This window comes from Homo sapiens, chromosome 16, assembly GCF_000001405.40.
Source record: "Homo sapiens chromosome 16, GRCh38.p14 Primary Assembly".
Lineage (NCBI taxonomy): Eukaryota > Metazoa > Chordata > Mammalia > Primates > Hominidae > Homo > Homo sapiens.
The window spans coordinates 50,427,617-50,453,059 of NC_000016.10; the positions used below are offsets into that span (position 1 = coordinate 50,427,617).

A 25,443-nucleotide genomic window follows, 5' to 3' on the forward strand; every position below is an offset into this window, starting at 1 on the left:
TTGGCAATAGAAATTGGAACTGAATATGGTTGCCTGTATGAGGGAGAGGGGAGGAGTCACTGGGAAGAACCATGAAGAACTTTCTAGGGGCCAGGCTTGGTAGCTCACTTCTGTAATCCCCACACTTGGGGAGGTCAAGGCGAGAGGACTGTTTGAGGCTGTGAATTCAAAACCAGCCTGAGCAACATAACAAATCTCCATCTCTACAAAAAAATAATTAGCTTGGTGCAGTGGGGCATGTAGTTCCAGCTACTTGGGAGGCTGAGGCAGGAAGATCACTTGAGCCCAGCAGTTAGAGGCTGCAGTGAGCTATAACCACACCATTGCACTCCAGGCTAGGCAACAAAGAGAGGCCCTGTCTCAAAAAGAAATAAATAAATACAAAGAAAAATAATCCCATTATGGAAGATGGAGTATCCATCCCTTGAAGCATTTGTCCTTTGTGTTACAAACAATCCTATTATACTATTTTAGTTATTTTAAATATACAATTAAATTATTATTGACTATAGTCACCCTGTTGTGCTATCAAATACTAGGTCTTATTCATTCATTCTAACTATTATTTTGTACCCCTTATCCCCTCCAAATCCTATGTTGAAACGTGACCTCCAATGTTAGAGGTGGGTGTAGGGAGAGGTGTTTGGGTCATGGGGGTAGATCACTTATGAATGGCTCACCATGGTAATGAGTGAGTTCTTGCTCTGGTATTTCCTGTGAGAGTTTGTTGCCTAAAAGAATATGGCACCTCCCCCTCTCTCCTACTCCCACTTTTGCCATAAGATGTGCTTGCTCCCCCATTGTCTTCCACCATGGTTGGAAGCTTTCCGAGGCCTTCATCAGAAGCTGAGCAGATGTTGGTGCTATGCTTGTACAGCCTGTAGAACCATGAACCAAAATAAACCTCTTTTCTTTATAAATTACCCAGTCTCAGGTATTCCTTTAGAGTAACGCAAATGGACTAACATACAAGATAACCTCCCTTTTGATTAACGTCAACCGATTAGGGTCCTTAATTACATCTGCATACGTTCTTGACCTTTGTCATATGATTAACCTAGTTACAAGAATAACATCCTATTCTATTCACATTCAGGGTGTGCACTCCAGGGATGACAGTCTTGGGGGCTACCTTAGAATTCTGTCTGTCACAAGTAACTATGAATATTCTGGAGCTTATCATTGAAGTATGCACTTTTAAAAAATAAGAGCATTTCTGGCCAGGTACAGTGGCTCATGACTGTACTTCCAACACTGTGGGAGGCTGGGTGGGAGGATCACTTGAAGCTAAGAGTTCAAGGCCAGCCTGGGCAACACAGCAAGAGCCCTGTCTCTACAAAAAAATAAACAATTAGCTGGACATGGTGGCATGCACCTGTAGTCCCAGCTACTCAGGAGGCTGAGGTGGGAGGCTGCAGTGAGCTATGATCATGCCAGTGGCTGACAGAGTGAGACCCTATCTCTTAAAAAAAAAAAAAGAGCATTTCTTATTAACCCAAAATAACATGATCCCACTTAACAAGGTAAACACTTATTTCTAAATATCATCTTATACCTGGCCCATATTTAAGTTTTCTTGCCAGGCAAGGTGGCTGATGCTTGTAATCCCAGCTCTTTGGGAGGCCAAGGCTGGAGGATCACTTGAGCCCAGGAGTTCAAGACCAGCCTGGGCAACATAGTGAGACCTCGCCTCTACAAAAAAAAATTAACCAGGTATAGTGGTACTCACCTGTAGTCTCAGCTACTTGGGAGGCTGAGGTAGGAGGATCACTTGAGCCTGGGAGTTCAAGGCTGCAGTGAGGCATGATTGCACCACTGCACTCCAGCCTAGGTGACAGAGGGAGATGCTGTCTCAAACATCTAGTCCCCAATGCAACAGTATTAAGAGGTGGGGCCTTTGGGAGGTGATTAGGTCATGAGAGTTCCATCTTCATAAATGAGGTTAGTGCCCTTAGACCAGAGGCCTGAGGGAGCCTGTGAGTCCCTTTTTGCCCTTTCATCATGAGGACTCGGCAAGAAGTTGCCATCTATGAGGAATAGGCCCTCACTGGGAACCAAATCTGCTGGTGCCTTTATCTTGGACTTTCCAGCCTCCAGAACTATGAGCAATAAATTACGTTGTTAGTAAATTACCAGTCTTGGATATTTTGTTACAGCAGCCAGAATAGACTAAGACATGGTCTTAATACATCAATTGATAATTCTTGCCTGAATCAGTGATTCCATTAGAGATCAGGGTGGAATTTTGACCTGGCATTCCCACTCTGTGGAACTATGGTTTGGTCTGAAATATGCTTTTGGTCTCTGAGGGCCTGATCTCCCTCCAAGTTGGACCATCTGGCTTAGACCCACCATCACCAGGCCCAGGGGCAGAGGTGGCCTGAGATGGGAAGGGGTTGGGAGACCTGGTGACTGGTACCTGCTTCTGAAAGGCAGCCACCTTGGTGTGTCTATGCCCCTCTCTCTATCCAATGCCCCTGAGGGCCTGGGCTCTGTCTGTGTGGGGTTGTATCTTCCTGCAGCAGAGCTCTGCCTGTCTGTTGGATTAGACTCTCCTAAAGCCTGTCTTGTTCCCTGGGGCCCGATCACAATGAACCAGCCATGCAGAGCTGCATCTGGAGATACAGTCATGTAATGCTGGCATCACCAACCACTGGTAAGGTGCCCATCAGATAACAAACATCAGGACACTTAGGAAAGTTTGGGTGGGGTGCACATACTCCCTCCACCCTGGACTCCCTCCTGGAAAATGGCTCAGCAGCTGGGTTCTGACTCCAGGCCAGTTGCCCCCGCCCCACGGGCAGAGAAATCTGCCTTTAATTTAGCAGTTCTATTTCTTTCTCCCTGGAAAGTCTTTGTGGTAACAATTAAGGAACTCTTTTATCCCCTCCTGGTTGAGGAGTGAGGAATTTGGGGATGGCATAGGAAAGCCTCCTTTCCTTGCTAATTCCCAAGACACAGCAACTTTTTCTTGGAAAGGGCATCTGGCAGAAGCCTCTGGGAGAGTCCCGATTGGTGATTTGGTGGTTTACATCTATGGAGGGCTGTAGATGTACCAGGCACCACACCGGGCACATCGCATGGATTACCTTACAGCATCTTCACAACCATCCCTCAAAGAAGGAAGGTCCCAAGCTCACCAGATCCATCCTAGTAGCATGTTAATACCATCTCCCAAGTCCTGGGCATTAAGTCTGACCGTGGGTGTTAAATCTGACCATGGGACAGTGCTCTCAAATCAGTACACTCTCTCTCATCGAGCTTTATAGTCTGCTCCCCATCTAACCCCCTTAACTCAGACACCTCGGGATCCAATTCCATGTATATTATCTGGTTCCTGCCACTACAGATTGATGAGACCCCACAGCTCCCTCAGGGGATGGAATTCTCCATCACACAGCAGGCCCAGCACCATGACCAGCTTGTGACTTGACCCCAGTTATCAGGCTGGTGGCCAGGAGAAGAGGTAGGGGTAATTCCTAAGGGGGTATGTGCTGTTTTACAAGGTAGAGAACTCTGCACCACTTTCAAGCAAAGGGAGCGTTAGCTTTTAAAAGGGAGGAGAGGAGTCATTTCTGCAGCGTCAGAGGGTTCAGGAGGATCAAGGATTTCAAGATTCCCAAGTGTCAGTGTCCTACTCCTTCCGTCCTTCCGAATCAGGGTGCTAATTTCGGCATAGGCAGATTTGCTGGGTTTGTAAAATTCAACTCTCTCTGGAGCAGTGCTATTTTTATAATTATGTCTTGAGCTCCATTCTGAGGTTTTTATGCCTTCTTGCTGCAGAAGACAAGAGTCTTGTATTTCAACCTTACATTGAAGATTAATCACCTCCAGCCTCTGTCTTTATTTTTATAGGGAGAGGGTCTCTCTACGTTCCCAGGCTGGTCTTGAACTTCTGACCTCAAGTGATTCTACTGCCTTGGCCTCCCAAAGTCCTGGGATTACAGTCATGAGCCACCATGCCTGGCCCTCTTTGTCTTCCTCTACAGCACTGATAGCCCTGAACAATGGCTATCTGTAGTATGTCTCAAATGCCTGAACTACCGTATCAGCCAGTGCATTCTTTCCCACCCTTCTCCTATGCTAGTTCACCCCTGGTGAACATTTGAGCAAATGCACCACTTTTGCATGCAAGGTGCTTTCTGTATTCTAGCTACCACCAGTAATGGGGTCCTCATTCTCAACTGGCCAGTAGGGTGATCCAGTTCTAAAATCCCAATTTAGAGTCACTGCCCTCAGACCACCTCTGTTACAGGTGAGTTTCCAGAGAATCCAATTTTGAGACAGATTTGCATGCAGGTGGTTTAGTGGGGGACCAATACCTGTCAGAGGCTGTGGGCAGCAGGGCTGGATGAGGAGAAACTGAGCAACAGTACAGTCTCATTAGAGGTCTTAGCTGATTCTGTGGGGAGTGTGGGGGCAGGAGAACCCTCCTGAATTGTGTTGGAGACCAAGGATCTGGGTCTTTATACTCTTGCACTGACCTGTCATTGGACATGAGTTCCCCAGGGAAGGAGTGTGATATGGTTTGGCTGTGTCCCCAGCCAAATCTCATCTTGAATTGTAGCTCCCATAATTCCCACATGTTGTGGGAGGGATGCAGTGTGAGGTAATTGAATCATGGGGGCAGTTCCCAACATGCTGTTCTCTTGGTAGTGAGTAAGTCTCATGAGATCTGATGGTTTTATAAGGAGAAACCCCTTTTGCTTGGCTCTCATTTCTCTGTTGCCTGCTGCCATGTAAGACTTGCCTTTCACCTTCCGCCATGATTGTGAGGCCTCCCCAGCCACTCGGAACTCTGAGTCCATTAACCTCTTTTTCTTTATAAATCACCCAGTCTCTGTTATGTCTTTATTAGCAGAGGGAGAACAGATTAATACAGTGTGTCACCTTGGGCAAGGCAACTCGTTTTGAGTGAAGGCCAATCTCAGAGAGGAACTCAGGGATGAGCCATTAGCAGCTAACACCCCTGAAAGACAGGAAAATGAGCACCTCAGTCCTGAAGGGGGAACTGGGCAGCTCCTAACAGTATCCACTACAGAGAAGTAAGTTTTTTCCAATTTTCCTCCTACTATAACAATACTGTAATGAACATCTCTGCACATCTCTCTCCTTGTGTAAATGTTTGAGCAATGATTCCCTGCTTTGCACATCACATAATGTAGACAGAATATGAGGATTTGTGTATAACACACAGGAGTAAACAGGCAAGAGTGTGGAACCCGGGCATGAGCTGCTTGTGTGGGCAGCTGGCAGGGGTTCACACTGCTCCAGGTATTTTCTTTCCCCCGTTGTTGCCTCATGGCCTGAGAGGATCAATATCTTCATTCTACACAAAAGGGTCTGAGCTCTCTACTCCGGGTTTGGATGCATCTGGAAGAGGAATTCCTGGATGTAAGGCATGCACACTGTCATCTTTATGAGGTATTAACATTTTATCTATAAAACTAGAAGATGCCCTTTTACATCTTTCAGGTTTAGTATTGCTGTCAACTCGATAGGTGTGAAATAGTGTCTTATTGCTTAATTTTCCCTTTCTCTGTTTACCCATGTCATCGGGCATCTTTTCACAAGTCTATTGGCCATCTGCTTCCCCCTTCTGAGACTTGCTTGCTCATTTCCATTGCCCTTTTTGCTGATGAGTTGTTCATCTTTTCCTTATTGATTTGTGGGACTCATTGCTCTGCTCCCTGGGGCTGTCTCTGTCAATTCAATGCCCCTGCTGCTATGGTCACTGCCTCCCCCTACCCATATACCAAATAGAGTCTTTGATTCTCTCCATCTTTATGTCTGGGGAGGTACACCTGGTTGCCTGAGAGAGTTAAAGCCACACACTTTCCCCTGAGCTGCATGGGAGCCTGAGAATATGAGCACCTGGCACTTCAGCTTCCTTCATTGGAGGTGGGCTCAGCTTCTCAACAAGTTTCATAAGGTGAAGAATTGCTCAGAAGGACATCCAATTTGGGAAAGTCTGCCTCAAAAATGGATAAATATCTATCCCAGTGTTAGCAGATCTTTACTTCACAAGGTTAGTGAGAGCTTAAAGAAAATAGAATATGCAAAAGTACCCAGCAGGTGCTCGTAGAATAGCCCATCATCTTCCTTTGCAGCTTTGCTGGGACAAATGTCCATTATGGGAATGGCAAATTAAGTGGACTCACACATTATAGGCATTGAACTAATGCAAACTCCACACTCTCTCAACTGTGTGCTTACAGGTTGTGGGAGAGGAAAATAACAGTTTGTCTGGACAGTTGGTTTTATCTGACCAGTGCACAGCTACCTGGGAGTGAATGGGAGGAAACGGGGTTCTGTTTTTGCTGTGCCTTCAGGCAAGCTCAGTTCCTCCCTCCCCCGTGCCTCTCCCACTTCCCTGATTGATTCTAGTTTTTAAAGACAGGCATTTTCATACACCCCAGCCTCTCAACAGTAGTCAAGCCCATCACTTGGGGTTCAACCAACAACACAGTGATCTATGGCAAGACTGGAGGAAAACCTCCTGGCTGGACTCATTATGAGCCTGAGCTATCCTATACTTTGTTTGAGATTTAGGAGATTTTCAAGGATAATCTTTGATTTGATGCAGTTTTCTTTTCATGCCAGGACTTTAGAATCTACCCTCTGCAGAAGAGGCAATTCCCGACAGAAGACAGTGGTCTCATTTCAAATGCTGTGTGTAATTGAGTGACTATGATGGTCTGGAGAATGGCAGGAAAGAGGGTGGTGATTGAAGGCAGTGTCTGCCAGGAGGGCAGGAATGGGCATATGTGCATTGGTGCTGGGTATGAGATGGAGCAGGACCCCTCTTAGGTCTTTATGACCTGTATCTTGTGCCGACCTCCCATCTCATCCTGTGACTTAGAATGCATTAACTGTCTGGGAATGTAACCCAGTGGGTTTCAGCCTTATTTTACCCACCTCCTATTCAAAATGGAGTTGCTCTTGTTCTAAGGCCTCTGACAACCCTAACTCCTCAGGGAGATGGATTTGTGGTTTCCTCCCATCTCCTCATTTGGTGGCCCTACAATTAAACCTCCTTCTCTACTGTCGTGGAGAAGAAGAGCCTAGGAAGACATGATCACTAAATATGACGTGGTGTCCCAATGTCCAGGAAGAGGGCATCAAGTCCAAGCTAAGGAAATATGAATAAGCAACAGACTTTAGTTAATAATAACAATGGATGGATATTGGTTCATTCACTGTAACAAATGTTCCATACTAATGTAAGACATCAGTAACAGGGGAAACTGTGTGTAGGGGGTATATGGAAACTCTTTGTACTATATGCTCAATCTTTCTGTAAATCTAAAACTGTTCTAAAAAATAGAGTGCATTTCATTCTCATTATAAAAAACAAATCAAACCAACAAAAACCTCTTTCTCTGCTGCATCCCAATGTCTTGGTGTATTGACTTGCTGTGCACATTGGACAAAGGGCTTATTATGGTTATACCCTCTGTTAGCTCAAGGTTAATTCTCGAGTGTACTCCTGGACATAAATGTGTGGTCTCTTGTGAGTTTGAGCAATGCAGAAATTTCCAGAGCCTGGAGACTCAGTCCGGGTCAAGTCCTGCTAAGCTAAGAGCTGACAAGCAGCCGGAGAGCTTACCCCGGGCTGTATACACTGCTTCGGGGCTGCCAACTGCTGGGCACTCCCCTATCGATCTGGAATCCTGGAGCATCTTTGCTGCAAAGGTCTGCAGAGAATGTATGGTATAACAAGGGAAATATTTAGGCCAGGCATGGTGGCTCACACCTGTAATTCCAACACTTTGGGAGGCCGAGGTGGAAGAATCACTTGAGTCCAGGAATGGGAGAGCAGCCTGGGCAACATATTGAGACCTCATCTCTACAAAAAGTCACAAAATCAACCAGGTATAGTGGCACATGCCTGTAGTCCCAGCTACTAGGGAGGCTGAGGCAGAAGGATCACTTGAATCTGGGAGGTCAAGGCTGCAGCAAGTTATGATCGCACCACCGCACTCCAGCCTGGGTGACAGAGCCAAATCCTGTCACTAATATATATATATATATATATATATATATATATATATATATATATGACATATTAGTGTATAATATATATACACTAAATATATATATATTTAAAAATATATTTATGATGATGATAATGATGATGTACATTTGGTCCTTGTCCCTGGTTCCTGGCACCGAGCCCCTAAAACCCCTGGAATTTCTTCAGTGATGGCAGTCTTTTGTTACTACAGTGAGCCCCTTTCAACCATGTCAGAGTTTATGCTAGTGAAGTGACTCAGGGTGGGGCCCCTAGATAACCTCAGGATGGGGCTGGTCACCAAAAAGACCAAACACAGGATTAGAAGGTTGGGACTTTCAGCCACACCCCTGACCTCGGGCAAGGAAAGGGGCTAGACATTGGATTATAAATAAACTCTTGAACAAAAACATTTGCAGCGCTTCGGATTGTTGACCACACTGATGTGCTGGAAGGGTGGCACACCCCAGGAGGACACGGAAGCTCCAGGCCATCCTGCCCCAGAACCTTACTTCAGGCACATCTTCCATTAGGCTGTTGCTGAGTTTTATCCTTTATAACGAACCAGTAATAGTGAGTAAAAGGCTTTTGTGAGTTCTGTGAATCAATCTAGGAAATTATTGAACTTGAGAAGGCGGTCGTGGGAATCCTTGAGTTTGTAATTGCCTGGGCAAAAGTGTGGGTCACCTGGGGACCCCATTTGTGCCTAGCATCTGAAGTAGGGGGAAGTGCTGTGGGACTGAGCACTAAACCTGTGGAGTCTGACACCAACTCTGAGCCATTAGTGTCAGAATTAAATTGAATTGTTAGAAATCCAGTTGGTGTTGGAGAGTTGGAGAACCAGTGTCAGGAAATACCACTGGGCTGGGCACGGGGGCTCATGCCTGTAATCTCAAGACTTTGGGAGGCCGAGGTGGGCAGATCGCTTGAGTCTAGGAGTTCAAGATCAGCCTGGGCAACACAGCAAGACACCCTATCTTTACAAAAAAGAAGGGAGAAAGAAAGGAAGGAAGAAAGAAAGAAAATACCACATACAGTTCCTCAATGGATATCTGTTGAATGAACAGAGAACACTAGCTAACATAAATTAGGCACAATGTCCTGAGTGGTATGCTAAATACTTTCTATGCACTAATTTAGAAACTACTTTTTGAGTTAGTACTATGTCATGTGCCTGGCTTGGTGCTTGGTACAGCTGTGAACAATGAAGCCAATTCAGCACATCTGTTTTAGCGCCTAACTGCGTGCCATGCACTGTTCTAGGTCCTGGAGATATAGCTGTGAGCAACTTAAGTTTACCTAACAAATATTTATTGAGTTCCTACTATGTGTCAGACACCATTCCAGGCCTGCAGAATACAGCAATGACCACAAGTCAAATCCCCACCCTGTGTGCATTTTTCAGGAGTCCTAGGAGCGAAGTCATTTTGCACTTAAGGAAATTGAGGACTGGGCGCGGTGGCTCACGCCTGTAATCCCAGCACTTTGGGAGGCCGAGTTAGGAGAACCTCAAACCCAGGTGTTCAAGATCAGCCTGAGCAACATAGTGAGACCCCCATCTTTATAAAAAAAAAAAAAAAAGTTAGCATAGTGGCATGCATCTGTAGTACCAGCTATTTGGGAGGCTGAGGCTGGAGGATTGCTTGAGCCCTGGAATTTGAGGCTGCAGTGAACCACGATTTTGCCACCGCACTCCATCCTTGGTGACAGAGCCAGATTTTGTCTCTAAAAACAAAAGCAAACAAACAAACAAATTGAGGCTCAGAGAGGTTAATTGTCTTTCACAAAGTCACACAGCCAGGGTAGTAAGGCTAGACCTAACCCCTGCCCAACTGACACCACTGCTTGTGTTCTCACTCTCTGGCCTAGGCTCTTTGTGTGTGTGTGTGTGTGTGTGTGTGTGTGTGTGTGTGTGTGTGAGACAGGGTCTCACTCTGCCACCCAGGCTGGAGTGTAGTAGCCTGATCACAGCTCACTGCAGCCTCGACCTCCTGGGCTCAAGCAATCCTCCCCCCTCAGCCTCCTGAGTAGCTGGGACTACAGGCTTATGCCACCACACCCAGCTAACCAGGCTGAGTCTTAATGTTGGAGTGAGTCCTGTGGTCCACCAGGCTGGGCAATTTAGGGGCTCCTAAGTCACCCACACAAGCCTCCCTCTTCCAGGCCCCCCAGCCCTACTCCCTCTTCTCTGGTACACAGAATGCCTAATGAGACTGGCACTGTTCCCGAGTGACACCCCCGAGTGCCGTAATGTGTTTTTGTGTGCAAAACCCTGTGTTCAGCAAATTGCTGTGACCAAGACCCTATCCAGTTACCTGACGCATCAGAGGTATGTTCTGTGGGGCTGCCAAGCAAAGCAGAGAATAATACTTCTAAGAATTTTAACCATTAGATAGAAAAAGCGTGGTCCTGGCAGCCCCTGGCAGGCACTGCCGAGTGGGAACCAGATACAAAGCAAACAAGAAGGGCGAGTGGCACGTGTGGCCTGTTGTCCTTGCCGGTGGGTCAGCCGCCCTGGCCCCACAGTTGCATTGTCAAAGCCACCAGTCACCTGACTTTTGTTGCTGGCTGGCTGGAGACCGTGGCCCTGGGTTTTCCATACATCAGCTTGGAACTCTGAGCTGAGATCAGCTTCCTGGAGGGGTGGGTTCAGTTTGGACAACTGCTGAGCAGAGGGGTATTGGCTCTGATGCCACGCTGAGAGCTTCTGTGGCTGTCCCTCATCTCAGTGGCCTGTGAACTTCAGGCAGGTGACTCATCCTCACTGGAACTTACTCGGGATGGCAATCAGAATATCTCCTTCATTTGGGAGGATTAGAGAAGTGAGTGAGTTCAGAGAAGCAAAAAAGAACCGAGTCTGGCTCACTCCTGAGACTCTGCTGCTGCTAGCTGTTACCTGAAAGTCAGGCATTCATGCAACAAATATCCATGAAGCACTGCCTAGGTGCCCTGCCAAGTGTGCACAATGGTAAGTAGAACAGATTTAGTCCCTGCCTTCATGGTGCTTACGGTCCAATGAGGGTGATGGGCAGCTAAGGAGTCCTATCAACAAATATGACATTGGAATGGGGTCCAGTGTTGGGGAGAGAGTCCTAAGGTGTCTATGATGGGAGGTTTTGCTGGGTAGGGAAGTTGGGAGAAGTCACTCTGGGGGACTTTGGGGGTGCTCTAGACTTCAAAAATGAGGACATTCTCAAGAAGCAATGGCAATACAACGGAGCAAAGAAACACTTTTCAACAAATGGTTCTGGAACAACTGGACATTCACTTGCTAAAAAATGAATCTAGACACGGAGTTTATACCCCTCACAAAAATTAACTCAAAATGGATCACAGGCCTAAAAGTAAAATATAAAACTATAAAACTCCTAGGAGATAACAAGAGAAAATCTGATGACCTTGGGTTTGGCAATGACTTTACAGATACAGCACCAGAAGTGCAATCCATGAAGGAAAGACTTGATAAGCTGAGCTTCATTAAGATGAAATACTTCTGCTATGGGAAAGACAATGTCAAAATAATGAGAAAACAAGCCATGGACTGGGAGAAAATATTTGCAAAAGATACATCTGATAAAGAACTGTTATCCAAAATATGCAAATAACTCTTTAAAAAATCAACAATAAGAAAACAAGCCAATTAAAAAGTGGGCCAAGGACTTTAACAGACTCCTCACTAAGGAAGATACACAGATGGAAACCAGCATATGAAGAGATGCTCCACATCATATGTCATCCAGAAAATGCAAATTAAAACAACAACGAGACACCACCACGTGCCTGTTAGAATGGCCAAAATCCAGAACACCGACATCACCAAATGCTGATGAGGAGGTGGAGCAACAGGAACTCTCACTCATTGCTAGTGGGAACACACAATGGCACAGCCACTTTGAGAGGCGGTATGACATGTTTTTTTGTTTGTTTGTTTTTACAAAAACTAAACATACTCTTATCATACAATCCAAAAATTGCACTCCTTGGTATTTATCCAAAGGTGCTGAATATTTACGTCTGCATAAAAACCTGCACATGGAAGTTATAGCCATTTACTTGTCAAAATGTGGCAATTGGAAGACAACAATCTTCCCATGTCTTTCAGTAGGTGAATGGATAAACTGTGGTGCCTCCAGACAACGGAGTATTATTCAGTGTTTAAAAAATGATCTATCAAGCCATGAAAAGACAAGGAGGAAACTTAAGTGCATATTCCTAAATGAAAGAAGCCAATCTGAAAAGGCCACAACTGTGTGATTCCAATGATATGACATTCTGAAAAAAGGCAAAACTATGGAAATCAGAAGAGCAGGGGTTGCCAGGGGTTAGGAGGAAGGGATGAATAGGTGAAGCACACAGGATTTTTAGGACAGTAAAACTACTCTCTATGATCCTGTAATGGTGGATACATGTCATTATAAATTTGCCCAAACTCATAGAATGCACAACACCGAGTGAACCTTAAACTACGGACTTTAAGTGATAATGATGTACTCATGTAGGTTCATCAGTTGCAGCAAATGTACCACTCTGGTGGGGGATGTCGACAATCAGGGAGGCTTGGGAGGGAAATTTCTGTGCCTTCCACTCAAGGTAGCTGTGAACTGAAAACTGTTGTAAAAAATAAAGTCTATTAAATTAAAAAACAATGAGGATATTATGAGGGTAAAGAAAGGGACAAGTTTTCTAGGTAGAGGGAACAGCATGGGTGAAGGCCTAGTGGCAAGAGGAAGCCTAATGACTCCAAGGACTTGGAATGAGTTCAGTATGGCTGACTGCAGAGGGACAGGGAACTTGGAGATGATGCTGGAGAGGCAGGTGGGTAGGGGCTGAGTCTTGTGCACTTTGTAGGCCAAGTTCAGCAGTTTTGCCTTTCACCTAAGAGCAGTAGGAAGCATAAAAATGCTTTAGCCAGGTGATGACTTGATTTGATTGGTGTTTTAGTAAAGATCAGTCTGGCTGCTATCTGGAAAATAGAGCATAAGGGCCAGGAGGGGAAGCCCAGAAGCCAGCGAGGGAAGATGGTGGCTTGGACCCAGATGTGGTGATGGTGGGTGGGTTTGAAAGGCAGCAGGGCTTACTGCTATGTTAGATGTGGCTGGGCTGCAAGGGTTGGGGGAGGGGCTCAGAAATGAATGTCATTGTCCCTGGGTTCCTGTGGAGAACCAGCAGGGCCTGCCCAAGTCACACTCAGTTCCCAGGCAGGTGAAGCTGCATCTGATTATCTGCCCCTAAGAAGCTTCCAAAGGCCAAGAAAGCCTGAGCTAGCCACAGCCCTTCCCTTGTTCCCCACGCTTACCAGCCTCTCTCCAGGTGCTCATGAAGGTAAAGTGAAGCCTCTGGAGGACAGACCTGCTGCCTTCCCTCCCCTGGTGCTGGGAGGAGCTTGGGGCTCTGACCCTCTCTCCTCCTCACTCAGGGCAGGCCCCTTTGATGGCAGCGGCAGCCTGTCTGGAGTGGCTCCTGCAAAGATGCTAGCTGCAGTGGGAGAAGTGTGGCTGGGGCTGCATGTCCCATGAGAATAGGCAGAAACCCCACCCACTTCTGAGAGGGCGCGGTGGGAGCCCCACCCTCATGGGCACAGCTGCAGCTACCCAGCTAGCTGCAGCCACAGACCTGGTCATATCTGCACTCTCAGGGACCTGGGAAGCCCCTTGCCCCTGCAGACTCGGAAATTTCTGTTCCTGCTGTCTGGCCTCTCTCCACTCCCAGTACCCACTCTGATCTCAGAGCAAAGTAGAGGCCAAGCCTGGGTGCTATTGCAACCCGACTGGGTGTGTAGACGCTCAGGGCAGTGCTGACATGCCAGCCCCCTGCCACCTTGGCCCCTTCTAGGGGCCAAGCATGGGAGGGAGGCTGAGGGGGTTGACAAGCATGGGAGGGAGGCTGAGGGGGCGCTGAGGGGGCACTGAGGGCAGTTTGGCACTGGCTGAGGGAGGGAGGTTGACAAGCATGGGAGGGAGGCTGAGGGGGCACTGAGGGCAGTTTGGCACTGGCCTGCAGGCGCCCCTCAGCAGGAACAGCCTGGGAGCCATGAATAGAGGCAGGAGGCAGACAGGCCGCAGAAAGGGACAGGTCCCTGGTGAAGGCCCATCTTCAAGCTAGGGATGGCCTGAAGCCTGGGGGCCCAGGCTGCCAGTTCTGTGGATGGGAGTGGGAACTTACAGTACTTTTCCCAGGCCTATTCGTGGTTACCCATGGATCAATCAGCATGGACTTCCTCCCCTCCGAAGCTCATAAAAGCCCCAGACTCAGCCAGACTCAGACATCAGGACGACCTGCCTGGGAAGAGGAGCTAGCCACTATGGGTCTTCTCTCAGCTGAGGGCTGAGCAGAAGTTGGGCCAACCTGCCTGCAGAGAGGAGCTACTCACTGTGGGTCTCCTGAGAGCTGTACTGTAGCTCAATAAAGCACCTCTTCACCTTGCTTACTCTTCACTTGTCTGCATACCTCATTCTTCTTGGATGTGGGACAAGAACTTGGAACACACTGAAAGAGCTGTAACCCAAATGGGGTTGAAACACGCCCTTTGTTTGCCAAATTGTGGTAATAATGAGAAGGAGAGAAGAGAGAAGGAGAGAAGAGTTGCAGCCCTTTGGGGTGCCCAGACCTAGGAGCTTCCTGAGCCAGAGCTGTGACACTCACTTTGGGGCTTGGCAGTCCCTGGCATCTCCAAGCTTCTGGGCACCACCATGTTCCCCAGCACCAGCAGTATAAGCTGCTTGTCATAGGCCTGGTTCAGCCACGGCCTTGCAGGGAGCTGCCAGCTGTTTGGTGCCTGGAGTTGGCCTCTCTGCCGCAGCTGGCATGCATGGCTGTGTGCAGTAGCTGGACCCCACACCCACTCGCATACCCCTCACCACTCTGCACCTGGCTCATTCTTGGCAGATGTGGGATCCAGGATGGTAGTGCAAGCTAAGTGCAACCTGCCAGGCTGAGTGGGCAGAACAAGCCCAACAGGCCCAAGCAAGACTTGGGCAACTGCATTGCTGGCCACAGAAGTTTCTGGCCAGAAAAGTGACACCCCAAGAATCCCATGACACCTCCAGAGCTGAAGCCAGTCCTGATGTCTTCCATGGTTTAGTGCAGTGGCTACAGAGCTGGTTTTGGTGTCAGACATACCTAGGTTTGGGTCCAGATTCTGCCAGTTACAATTATCTGTGGGACTTTGGGGCAAATTCTCAACCTTTCTGTACTTGTTTTCTTATCTGTATTAAGCGGGGGGGGGGGGGGGGGGGTGGGGGGGTGGGGGGAAGTGGGCACTTAACTTGCAAATTATCATGAGGATTTCAATGAGTTATTCCATATAAAACACTAGGGAAAATGCTGGGCACATAGTAGGTGCTTAAATATTAGATATTTTTAAAATTTTTATTTTAAAATTGTAAGTGGACAAATTACAGTTGTATGTATTTATGGAGTAAAAAGTGATATGATTTGTGAATACAGTGTGGGATAATTTAACCTACTTAACATGTCTCTCACTGCAAATACTTATTTTTTGTGGTGAGAGCATTTGAAAATCTTAGCAATTTTTGAAATGCACAATATGTCATTATTTAGTATATTTGCCACTCTGTGCAGTATATCTCAATATATTTCAAAGTAAAAACCAAAAAACAAAACATATTCCTCCTGTCTGACTGATGCTTTGTAACTCTGACCATCCTTTCCCTCAGCCTCTACTAAAGACCATTCTACTCTTTGCTTCTTTGAGTCTTTTTATTGTTTTAGAGTCCACAAAGAAGTGAGAACATGCGGTATCTGTCTCAGTGTCTAGCTTATTTTACTTAGCTTAATACTGTCTGATTCCATCCACGTTGTTGCAAGTGACAATATTTCTGTCTGTTTTTAAGGCCAAATAGTATTTTATTGTGTATATATACCATATTTTCTTTATCCATAAATGTCTCTCAAAAGAAGGTGTACAAATGGCCAACAGATATATGAAAAAATGCTTAACATCACTAAGCATTAGGGAAATGCAAAGTAAAGCACAAGGAGATATGACCATACCTGTTAGAATGGCAATTATTAAGAAGACAAGTGTTGATGAAGACGTGGAGAAAGGGAACTCTTGTGTACTGTTGGTGGGAATGTAAATTAGAACAGCCATCATGGAAAACTGCATGGAGGGTCCTCAAAGAGCTAAAAATAGAATTACTATAGGATCCAGCAATCCCACTTCTGGGTATTTACCCAAAAGATTTGAAACCAGCATGTCAAAGAGATGTCTGCACTCCCGTGTTCACTGCAGCACTATTCACAATAGCCTGCAATGATATGAAATCAATCTAAGTGTTTATGAGCAGATGAATGCATATTAGATATTACCATTAAAAATAACCAGAAAATGGGAATAATGATCACAGGGCTGTTGAGAAGACTACACGTATAATGTGACCATCACAATGCCCAAAATGTCTTTGTTGTTGATTTTACAACAGGCTAGATTGAAAACCACATCAGAATCCAATGAGGATCTTTTAAGTCAGTTCTAGAGACCCATACAATGAAATGTGAAAGAGCCATTAAAAAGTTGTTGTAGGAGGATATTTAATGAAAGGTGAACTTGGTTATTCTATGACATGAAGAGAAAAAAATCAGCTAAAAATGTATGTGTAGGGCCAAGCGTTGTGACTCATGCCTGTAATCTCAGCACTTGGGGAAGCTGAGGTGGGAGGATCACTTGAGGCCAGGAGTTTAAGACCAGCCTAGGCAGCATAGCAAGACCCTGCCTTTACAAATTAAAAAAAATAAATTAGCCAGGTGTGGTGGTGCATACCTGTAATGCCCCCTTCCCAGGAGGCTGAGGCAGGAGGATTGCTTGAGCACAGGAATTTGAGGCTGTAATGAGCTGTGATTGCAGCACTGCACTCCAGCCTGGGTGACAGAGAGAGAGTCTCTAAAAAATAAAACAATAAAACAGAAAACATGGCCTCAAATCCTTTGACCTTCTTCCCATGATCTCAACCCTTGAATCTGGACAGGCATGTGACTGCTTTGACCAACAGCTGCGGCAGAAATGACACAATGTAGCTTCCAAAACTAGGTCATAAAAGGCCATGGAATTTCCCTTCACTTGCTCAACCTCCATTCTTGGAGCCTGAGCCTTAAGGTAAGAAGTGCAACTACCCTGAGGCTGCCATACTGTGAGGAACCCTAAGCCACATGGAGAAGCCATGCATAGGCACTTGGGGCAACAGCCTCAGCAGAGTCAGCCCAGTTCATGAGCCAGACATATGAATGAAGAAGCTTCTAGAAGATTCTAGTCTCCAGCTGTTTGAGTCTTTCTAGCTGAGGCTTCAGACATCACAGGAGCACAGATAAGCCATCCCTTACGTGCCCTATTCAAGTTTCTGAAGCACAGAATCTGTGAGCATGATTAAATGGTTATTCTCTCCCAGCAAATTTGGGGTGGTTTGTGATATAGTGCTAGATAACGGGAATGGGAGATTTTAGGATTTTTTATTCTTTTAACTCTACATTTCTGAAACTTTACTTTTTTATGGTGAGTGTATGTTTTTATGACTAAGAAAATATTTATAAGGAAATATTTATTGAGTGAATAAAGAAAGAAAAAAATGAATGAATGAAAATGGGAGAGAGGAAGAGTGGGAGAAAGAAAAGAGGGAGGAAGCTGTTTTGTGGGAAGGCCCCGACTCCAACCCTCTCAGGAATTACTGACTTCAGATAAGTCTCCCTTGAACCTTTCTTTCCTCCATGTCCCATTCCTTGAGCCACTTTGTCCTCAGGCCATGACCAAAAGGCAGAGCATTCAATGACTCTGAGTGAGATAGAGCTGGGTTTCAGTCTGATGGCTCCACCTCTTCCTGCCTGTATGTCTTTGTACAACTCACTCACCCTCTCTGAGTGCATGTCAGAAAGTGGGGTGCACACAAACACTTGGACATGTGGGAGAAGCCTGATTCAAACCTAGAGCTGGCTGACTTTTGACAGAGCAGCCCCTCTTTATCCATTAAGGGGGTCCAGGACACTGCCTCGAGGGACATTGGGAGAGGGGGCTACCCTCAGCCAGCCACGTCCTGGGAGCCCTCTGTGTGGGCTGCCACTGGGCCAAGGTGCCAGGCACAGAGGGGGAAGGCTGGGGCCCAGGCAGAGGCCGGGGCTGCTCCAGCCCCTCCAGGAAGCCGAGCGATCCCTCCTGTAAACCTTTCACCCCTGCACGCTCTGAATGAAGCCATTCAGAGGAAGAAACCTGACCGGCGCATGTTTTATGCATGGTCCGGCTGTGCCAGCAGCAGCGGGTCTCCCAGGGTGGTATTATTTTTAGCTGGAGCATGTGAGGGGGCTGGGGACTTGAAAGAAGCAGGCTGGTCACCCACCTGTCCACCCTCTTCACCCAAGGACCCCCATCTTTGCTGGGTGACCATGGGCAGTGTTAGTGCGGTCTGTGCCCAGCACTGGGGGCTCTGCCCACAGAGCCAGGCTTTGGTTGGGGGGGGTCTTGTAGCCCCAGGCTGTCTGTTTTGCAGCCAATGAAAGCAGCTGGTCACCTCCACACCTGCATGCCCTTCCACCCCCAACAGGGGCTCGCTCCCTCACTTTCACAGGTGTTGACTCAGGGTAAGGCTAAACCCTTGGGAGGGGAACAGGCACGTTTCTGAGACTGTGTGAGAGGATGTCACCTTTGTCAGCCTTTCAAAAATCCTCTGTGGCTGCAACACGTAATCTGGCTGCTGGAGGTGGCTGGTTTTCAGCACTCCCAGTTTCTTCCTGGACAGCGGCCCGGGCGGGTAGAGTGTCCGCTTCAGGGGAGAGTGTCAGGGAGTCCTGGGTCATTAACATCTTTCACTGTCAAGTTTCCACCCTGTTTCCTGGTCTTCCTGCCTTGCTTTCCACCAAGTTTCCACGGCAATGTGGCTAGCATTTATTGAGCACCTACTGTGTGCCTGGTGTTTTCACACATCATCGCTGTCCACCTGCACCTTTGCCTTTTGGATGAGTACTGCTGTGGACCACATTTTTCCTAAGGGGAAACCAAGGCTCAGAGAGAGAGAGTGACTTACTTGGGGCGACACAGCAAGTTATGGCAGAGCTGGACTCAGACCCAACCCTGCCTGACCCAAGGAACACAGTGCACTTTGAGGTCTCTGACCTGGTAACATCTTTAGGTTAAGAGCCCAAACTCACAGCTTGGGGGTGTCTTCTCCTTGCTGTGTTCTCTCCTTTTAATGAATCATCAGAAACTTTAAAATATAGGCATGAGGATCTGTGCAGATCATATTTTTCAGTTGGAGAAACTAGATGGAGGCAACAGAGGCCCAGAGAGAAGAGGACACTTCCTCAAGGTCACTTGGTGCCCCAGGGCTGACCCAGAACTCAGGCTCCTTCTGTTTCTGCACAGGACTCCCCAGCTGCCTCACCTCCCTGGGCCTCCCTCTGCCCACCTGCCAACTGGAGCAGTCACTCAGCTTGGCTCCCAGGCCATTGCGGACAGGAAGGGGCTTGGGGAGTGGACAGGCCTGCGTTCCCGACACTAGCCATGGGAACCCTCTCTCCTGCTTGGCCCACGCTCACCACACACTCTGAGCCTGGTCAGCTCATGACCCCTAAGGCAGCTGCCTGTCTCCCTGCATTTGAAATGTCTAGGTTGTGGAGGGTCTAGCCAAGAGCGCTTGCTGAGTTGTTACTGCGTGGATGAATGGTAAATGCTACGCAGGTAACCGACGACCTTAGCCATCAGAAAACTCTCCAGGTCTTTCTTTATTTTCTTTTTGGAACAGAGTCTTACTCTGTTGCCCAGGCTGGAGTGCAGTGGTGTGATCTCAGCTCACTGCAACTGCTTCCCGGGTTCAAGTGATTCTCCTGTCTCAGCCACCCGAGTAGCTGGCATTACAGGTGAGCACCGCCACGCCTGGCTAATTTTTGTATTTTCAGTAGAGACAGGGTTTCACTATGTTGGCCAGGCTGGTCTCAAACTCCTGACCTCAAGTGATTCACCCGCCTCGGCCTCTCTAGGTGCTGGGATTACAGGTGTGAACCACCGCGCCTGGCTGGGTCTTTCAATTAGAGAGAATTCAGTGGAGGGAACTGATTATACAAGAGACATGAGGGCTGAGAAGCCAAGCAGAGAAAGGTAAAACAGCCCAGAGGTTAGCAACTGTGGGAAATTGCTACTACCAGGAGGCTGGAAGGAGAGAGAGGAGGTGGAGTTGTGAGAGCTTGAGAGCTAGGGCTGTGCAGCAGGAGGCTGAATTTGAAGGTTGGTGGGGGCTCTCTGCTGGGAGCTGAGAGCTGACACAGTGGTGTTGGGGACACCACAGGAAACACAGTGAGGGGAGAAACACTTTAGCTTTTCTCTCCCCTCGCTCTCCACAGTGCTGCCCATTGGCCAAACCAACCCAGAAACCAGGTGGCCAAGAAGTCCAGGGAACGTCACTCCTGGATACAGAGCAGAGCGTAAGGGCAGAGATAAGACCCGATATCAAACGGGCAGGTGACTGGCACAGGAAATTCACATCACTAAGGAGGATCCAGCACTAAGGGTGGTAACAGCAATCACTGATTAATGGCATCACTCGGGGCTTTCCCTGCAGTGGTGCCCTTGCACCCGGGAGAACTCGCTTACCGGTGAGGAAGTGAAGGCACAGTGCTGTCTGCATGGTCACTTAGCGGGGAGGGGAGAAGCGGCTGTCACCCTGCCTCCTGCTCTGGACTCCGCTGTCCCTTTCAGGCTGCAGATGCCCTCCAAGGCTGGTCTCCACTGGTCCTTAGGAGCATAGGCTCTGGGTTGAGTGATGCCTCCCTCTGACAGCACCGCACATGGAGTGTGGAGTTCTCAATAAAGGGTAGTTATTAACACGTCCATGGCCCCATCTTACGGCTGAGAAAATTGAGGTGCCAGCAGTTATGGGACACCCCCTCGCCCCCGCCAGGTTTCCTAGCTAGCTGGTGGCAGTGCTGGGAGCTTGAATCCATCACTTCTGGCTCCAAAGCGATTACTCTTAACTTCTGGGGCCCCTGCCCAAGCCAGGATACACCCTGGCACTCCTTCTTGTGGCCACTGTTGGGATCCACACCCAGGCCCCTCTCTGGCTCATTAACTCTGCCAGGACGGCTGGGCTGCCTGGGCTCAGGCGTGACCCACACGCCCAATTAGAGGGATTCAAAACGCCATTTACTTATCAATGACCTAAGCTCATTTGATTATGAAGGATGGAGCCCAAACTGTTCTCTGAAGCCACTGTCGTCCCTCAGCTGTGCCAAATCCTCCCTTGATCTGCTAATCCTGAGTTTATAAGGTTAGGAGATAAGCAGGCGGAACGCAATTCTTTTCTTTTTTGGTCCACCTAAGTGGCCATGAAACCCCTAACCATCATAGACCTCTCGGGCCCCTGTGGCCTCCCTGTCTGAATAATTCAGACGGTGTGTGAAGGAAGCCCCCACAGTCCTGGTACGCACAGGCCATCTGGGGCAGGCACTCCCCACCGATCAGCCTGGCTCTTCCTTCTCCTGCTCTTCCTTTTTTTCCCTCCTCTTTCTTGTACTGGCCTTTTTATGCTCACCTCAGGCTTGGGAAAGCCAGGCAGCCAGCCCAGCCGGTGACCCCGCCGAACCGTGGGGACCTGCTCCTCCTTGCGCCCCCTTTTGTCCCAGGCACAAATAGATCCCTCCGCCTCAAGCCCCATTGCGTGATATTCACCATGAAGAGGTGATAGACCCTGTCCCTAAGACATTTCCATTCTAGTGGGGGACAAGACTTCAGCCACTTGAGCCCAAACCATACTTAGGGTGTTCCTGTGGAGAAAGACCCCAGGTGTTTACAACACAATGCTCGCTGAAAGAGCTGAGAGACTCCTCAGCCGGACAATGGGGGTGTCAATCCCAGCTTTCACCAGCTGTGTGACATTAGGCAACCAGTTAGCCTCTCTGAACCTCTGTTTCTTCATTAATAAAATGGGGATAATGAAGGTACCTGTCATCACTAATTTAATTCTCACAATAAGAAGCAAATGGGGACACCTACAGCCTGGTACAGAATAAACCCTTAATAAAGGACATTGGTGATGACTTTTGTTCTCTATAACTACGAGGACAGCTTATACCACACAGCATTTCCCACACGCCCATTCTGCAGTGGATCTGTGGCTGCTGTCTGTCCTCACAGATCTCAGACACGAATTGGGAGGACCCTACCATGTTTCTCATGCCAATGATGGGAGAGAGATCCCGGGAAAAGGGATTGAGATCCATATGGTGGGTGGTCTCAGGGAGACATTGCCACGTGCTCTTGCAAACAGCTCTGGCTGTCACTCAAGCTACAGACTGACGAGGGCTACAGGGGAGAGCTCAGCAGGTCAGAAGAGGCCCGGGCCACTTTGAAGAGAAACAGTCTCATGGTTCAGCCCGAGCCTGACAGGTTGGAGAGCTGGGCCTGGAAGGCAGGTGGCCTGACCTATTTAACATGGAATTCATGCTTTAGATGCAAGAGGCTTTCAAGGGTAAAAGCTGGACCCAGGGGAGAAGAGAGAGGCTGAAGCAACATGGCCTGCTTGCCTTCCGCTGGGGGGTGGCAGAGAGGGGGTGAGGACAGGAGCACTGCTTTGGAGTCTGGAGGCTGCTTCTATCCTCATTCTACTTCCTACCAGCTCTCAGTCCTTGGCCGATTTGCCTCACCTGGATGAGCCCCCCTTGGCCTGGCGCCTGCCTCTCTGTTTTTCAACTTTGAGTTCCTTTGAGCTGAGATAGGTTTATTCATCTCCGTATAACCCACATGTCAGTAGAGATCACCCCATTTTTAAGAGGTTCATGAAATAGACATAAACTCTGTGTTCACATCTTGGGGTACAGGTGACTAGTGACCAAGCCAACCTGAGATTTCTGCCGATGTCTGTGTTCACGCCTTCACAGTCACTTTTAGCTCTGCCTGCTGCTCCCCTCCAGCCATCATCTCTCCTCCATGACTGCTTCTTTTCTCCACTCTGTACTGGCTCCGAAGTGGACCCACACTCTTTCCCCACATCTCCGTCAAACACCACTTGCACAAGTGATTCCGTTGCATGGTGGACCCTGGTGATGGTTCGCAGTTTCGGGAAGAAGATTATGCTACAGATGTGGACATGTTAGAATCAGTATGAGTCACCTCCTCTGGAAGAGCCCCTGAGCCCTTGCCCCATAGAAGTTCTTCACTCAATACCTTTCCATGTGGGCTCCTGCCATGCCAGCTCACTGATTTCTCCAGCTCACCTCACCTTCCTGCTAAACCCTTCTGCAGAGGGATGGAGTTTATCATTACCTTCAAACATGCCTTCAGGGCCCCACCAAATCATTTTTCTGAATAAATATTGTCTTTACTTATTTATTTTTTTTAGAGACAGGGTCTCACTCTGTCTCCCAGACTGAAGTGCAGTGGTGCCATCATAGCTCACTGCAGCCTTGAACTCCTGGACTCGAGCGATCCTCCCGCTTCAGCCTCTGGTGTAGCTGGGACTACAGGTGCACATCACAATGACCAGCTAATTTTAAAATGTTTTGTAGAGACAGGGTCTCACTATGTTGCCCAGGCTAGTCTCAAATTCTGGGCATCAAGTGATCCACCTGCCTCGGCCTTCCAAAGTGCTAGGATTATAGGCATGAGCCACCATGCCCCTCCTGCAAATGTTTCTCTCTAAATGGGACTTTGGAGCCAACTGTTAAATAGCTTAAAACAAAACAAAACCCCTTTGCTACATCTGCATGCCAGTACATTACCTTCTCTGAGTCTGTTTACCATCATTTGTAAAATGAGGGTCACCATCTCTGCCTTCCCATCCAACAAGCCTGTTTTGCGGGGGAGGTCAAAACAGAATAATGCAGGAGGAAGCAATAGGGCCACACACATGTTGGAGTCCTCATTCTAATAAATATTCCAGGATGATACAAATGGCGCTGTCAAACTTTGCAAGAACTTTGGTCTCTTCTGTTTGGATCTCCAAGTAGGAGGTTTTTGACCTTGCTAACAAAAGAGCTCCTTGCTCTCCCCACCGCTGAGGTCTGCCAATTGCAGGAAGGATTGCGTGGAAAGTCTGTTAGAGAAAGAGAAGAGATGTCTGCCTCCTCTCATTCAAGGCCTCTGTGGGGTGGGGGTCTGCTTTATTCTTCTTTTACCATACGTAAATCTTCCTCTTGGCTTCCCTCACAGCTTGATAGATGATTGGTTCTTGCTTTCAACATCAATAGCAAGGCATATATTTTTTTACTTATACGCAATTCTGTGTCTAAGTTCTCAGGCACCAGGAGAAAACGATATAGTTCTCCTGCAGGAGGTAGACTGTGTAAATATATATTAGTTTGGGGAGAAGAAATGAGGAATGATAAAATATTCAGAAAGCGGTCTGTTCTTGAGGGATGTTATTCTGCACAGCCAGGGAGCAGATTAATGACACCGTTTGCAAGGAAGGGAGAACGGCCCCATAAAATATGTATTAGTGGAGTTGGTGGTGGGATGGGCGGGAGTGCCTGGGGTTGGCCATGCGGGTCCATCTCAGAAGTTGGCACCCACCCTTGGTCTCCCTCATCAGGGGTCCCAACAGCTAGCTCAAGGGCCCTGGAGGGTGAAAGCTCCAAGGTGGGGTGTGCTGACCATACTAGCCAGACATAGGGGACTGAGTGGGTTCTTTGGCAGGAGTACTAGGTGGAAAGTCAGGAGGTCTATCCCTGTCTCTAACCTGCTGTGTGGCCTTCGGTTAGTCACTTACCCTCTCTGAGTCTTTGTTTCTTCTACCATCAAATGGAGACTAGATGATGATGATGATTTTTTGTTGTTGTTGTTGTTATTGTTGTTGTTGTTGTTTTGAGACAGAGTCTTGCTGTGTCTCCCAGGCTGGAGCACAGTGGTGAGATCGTAGCTCACTGCAGCCTCAACTTCCAGGGCTCAAGCGATCCTCCCACCTCAGCCTCCTGAGTAGCTAGGACCACAGCTGTGTGCCACCATGCCTGGCTAATTATTTTTTATTTCTCTAGAGGTGGGGTCTTACTATATTGCCCAGACTGGTTTTGAACTTCTGGGCTTAAGCAAACCTCTCACCTCAGCTTCCCAAAGTGGTGGGATAACAGGCATGAGCCATATCATGCCTGGCCTAGGTGATTCTTAAGAGGGCTTGTGTAAGTGATGGGTTGGGTAGCAGGGTCATTGGAAATGAAGCAAGATGGGAAGAGTTGTGTTTGCTGGGCCTCACCATCGGGGGTGTACTGGAAGAACACTTCCGTGGTTCTGGAAGAAACTCTTTGATAAGTCAGTTGGAGGTAGGGGTAAGACCCCAAGGAGCATGCATGAGTAACAAAGGATGGTCCCCAAGTTGTCTTCTAAGTTAGATGGTGCTGTTAACTTTAGACTGTTGTTTGGCTGAATGCAGGATGTGAGTTTGGGGCGAGAGCTGAATTGCTTGGAGAAGCAGCAGAAGAAGAAAGGCTGAGGGCAGTGAGCACAG

At 47.9% G+C, this 25,443-nt stretch overlaps 1 annotated feature.

Annotated features, from left to right (window-relative positions):
* Positions 20,962 to 21,256: a silencer, noted in NCBI's record as "tiled region #11329; K562 Repressive non-DNase unmatched - State 20:ReprD". NCBI's record gives its function as "represses a minimal TATA promoter and a strong SV40 promoter by Sharpr-MPRA in K562 cells {active_cell/tissue: K562}" and the evidence as "EXISTENCE:reporter gene assay evidence [ECO:0000049][PMID:27701403]".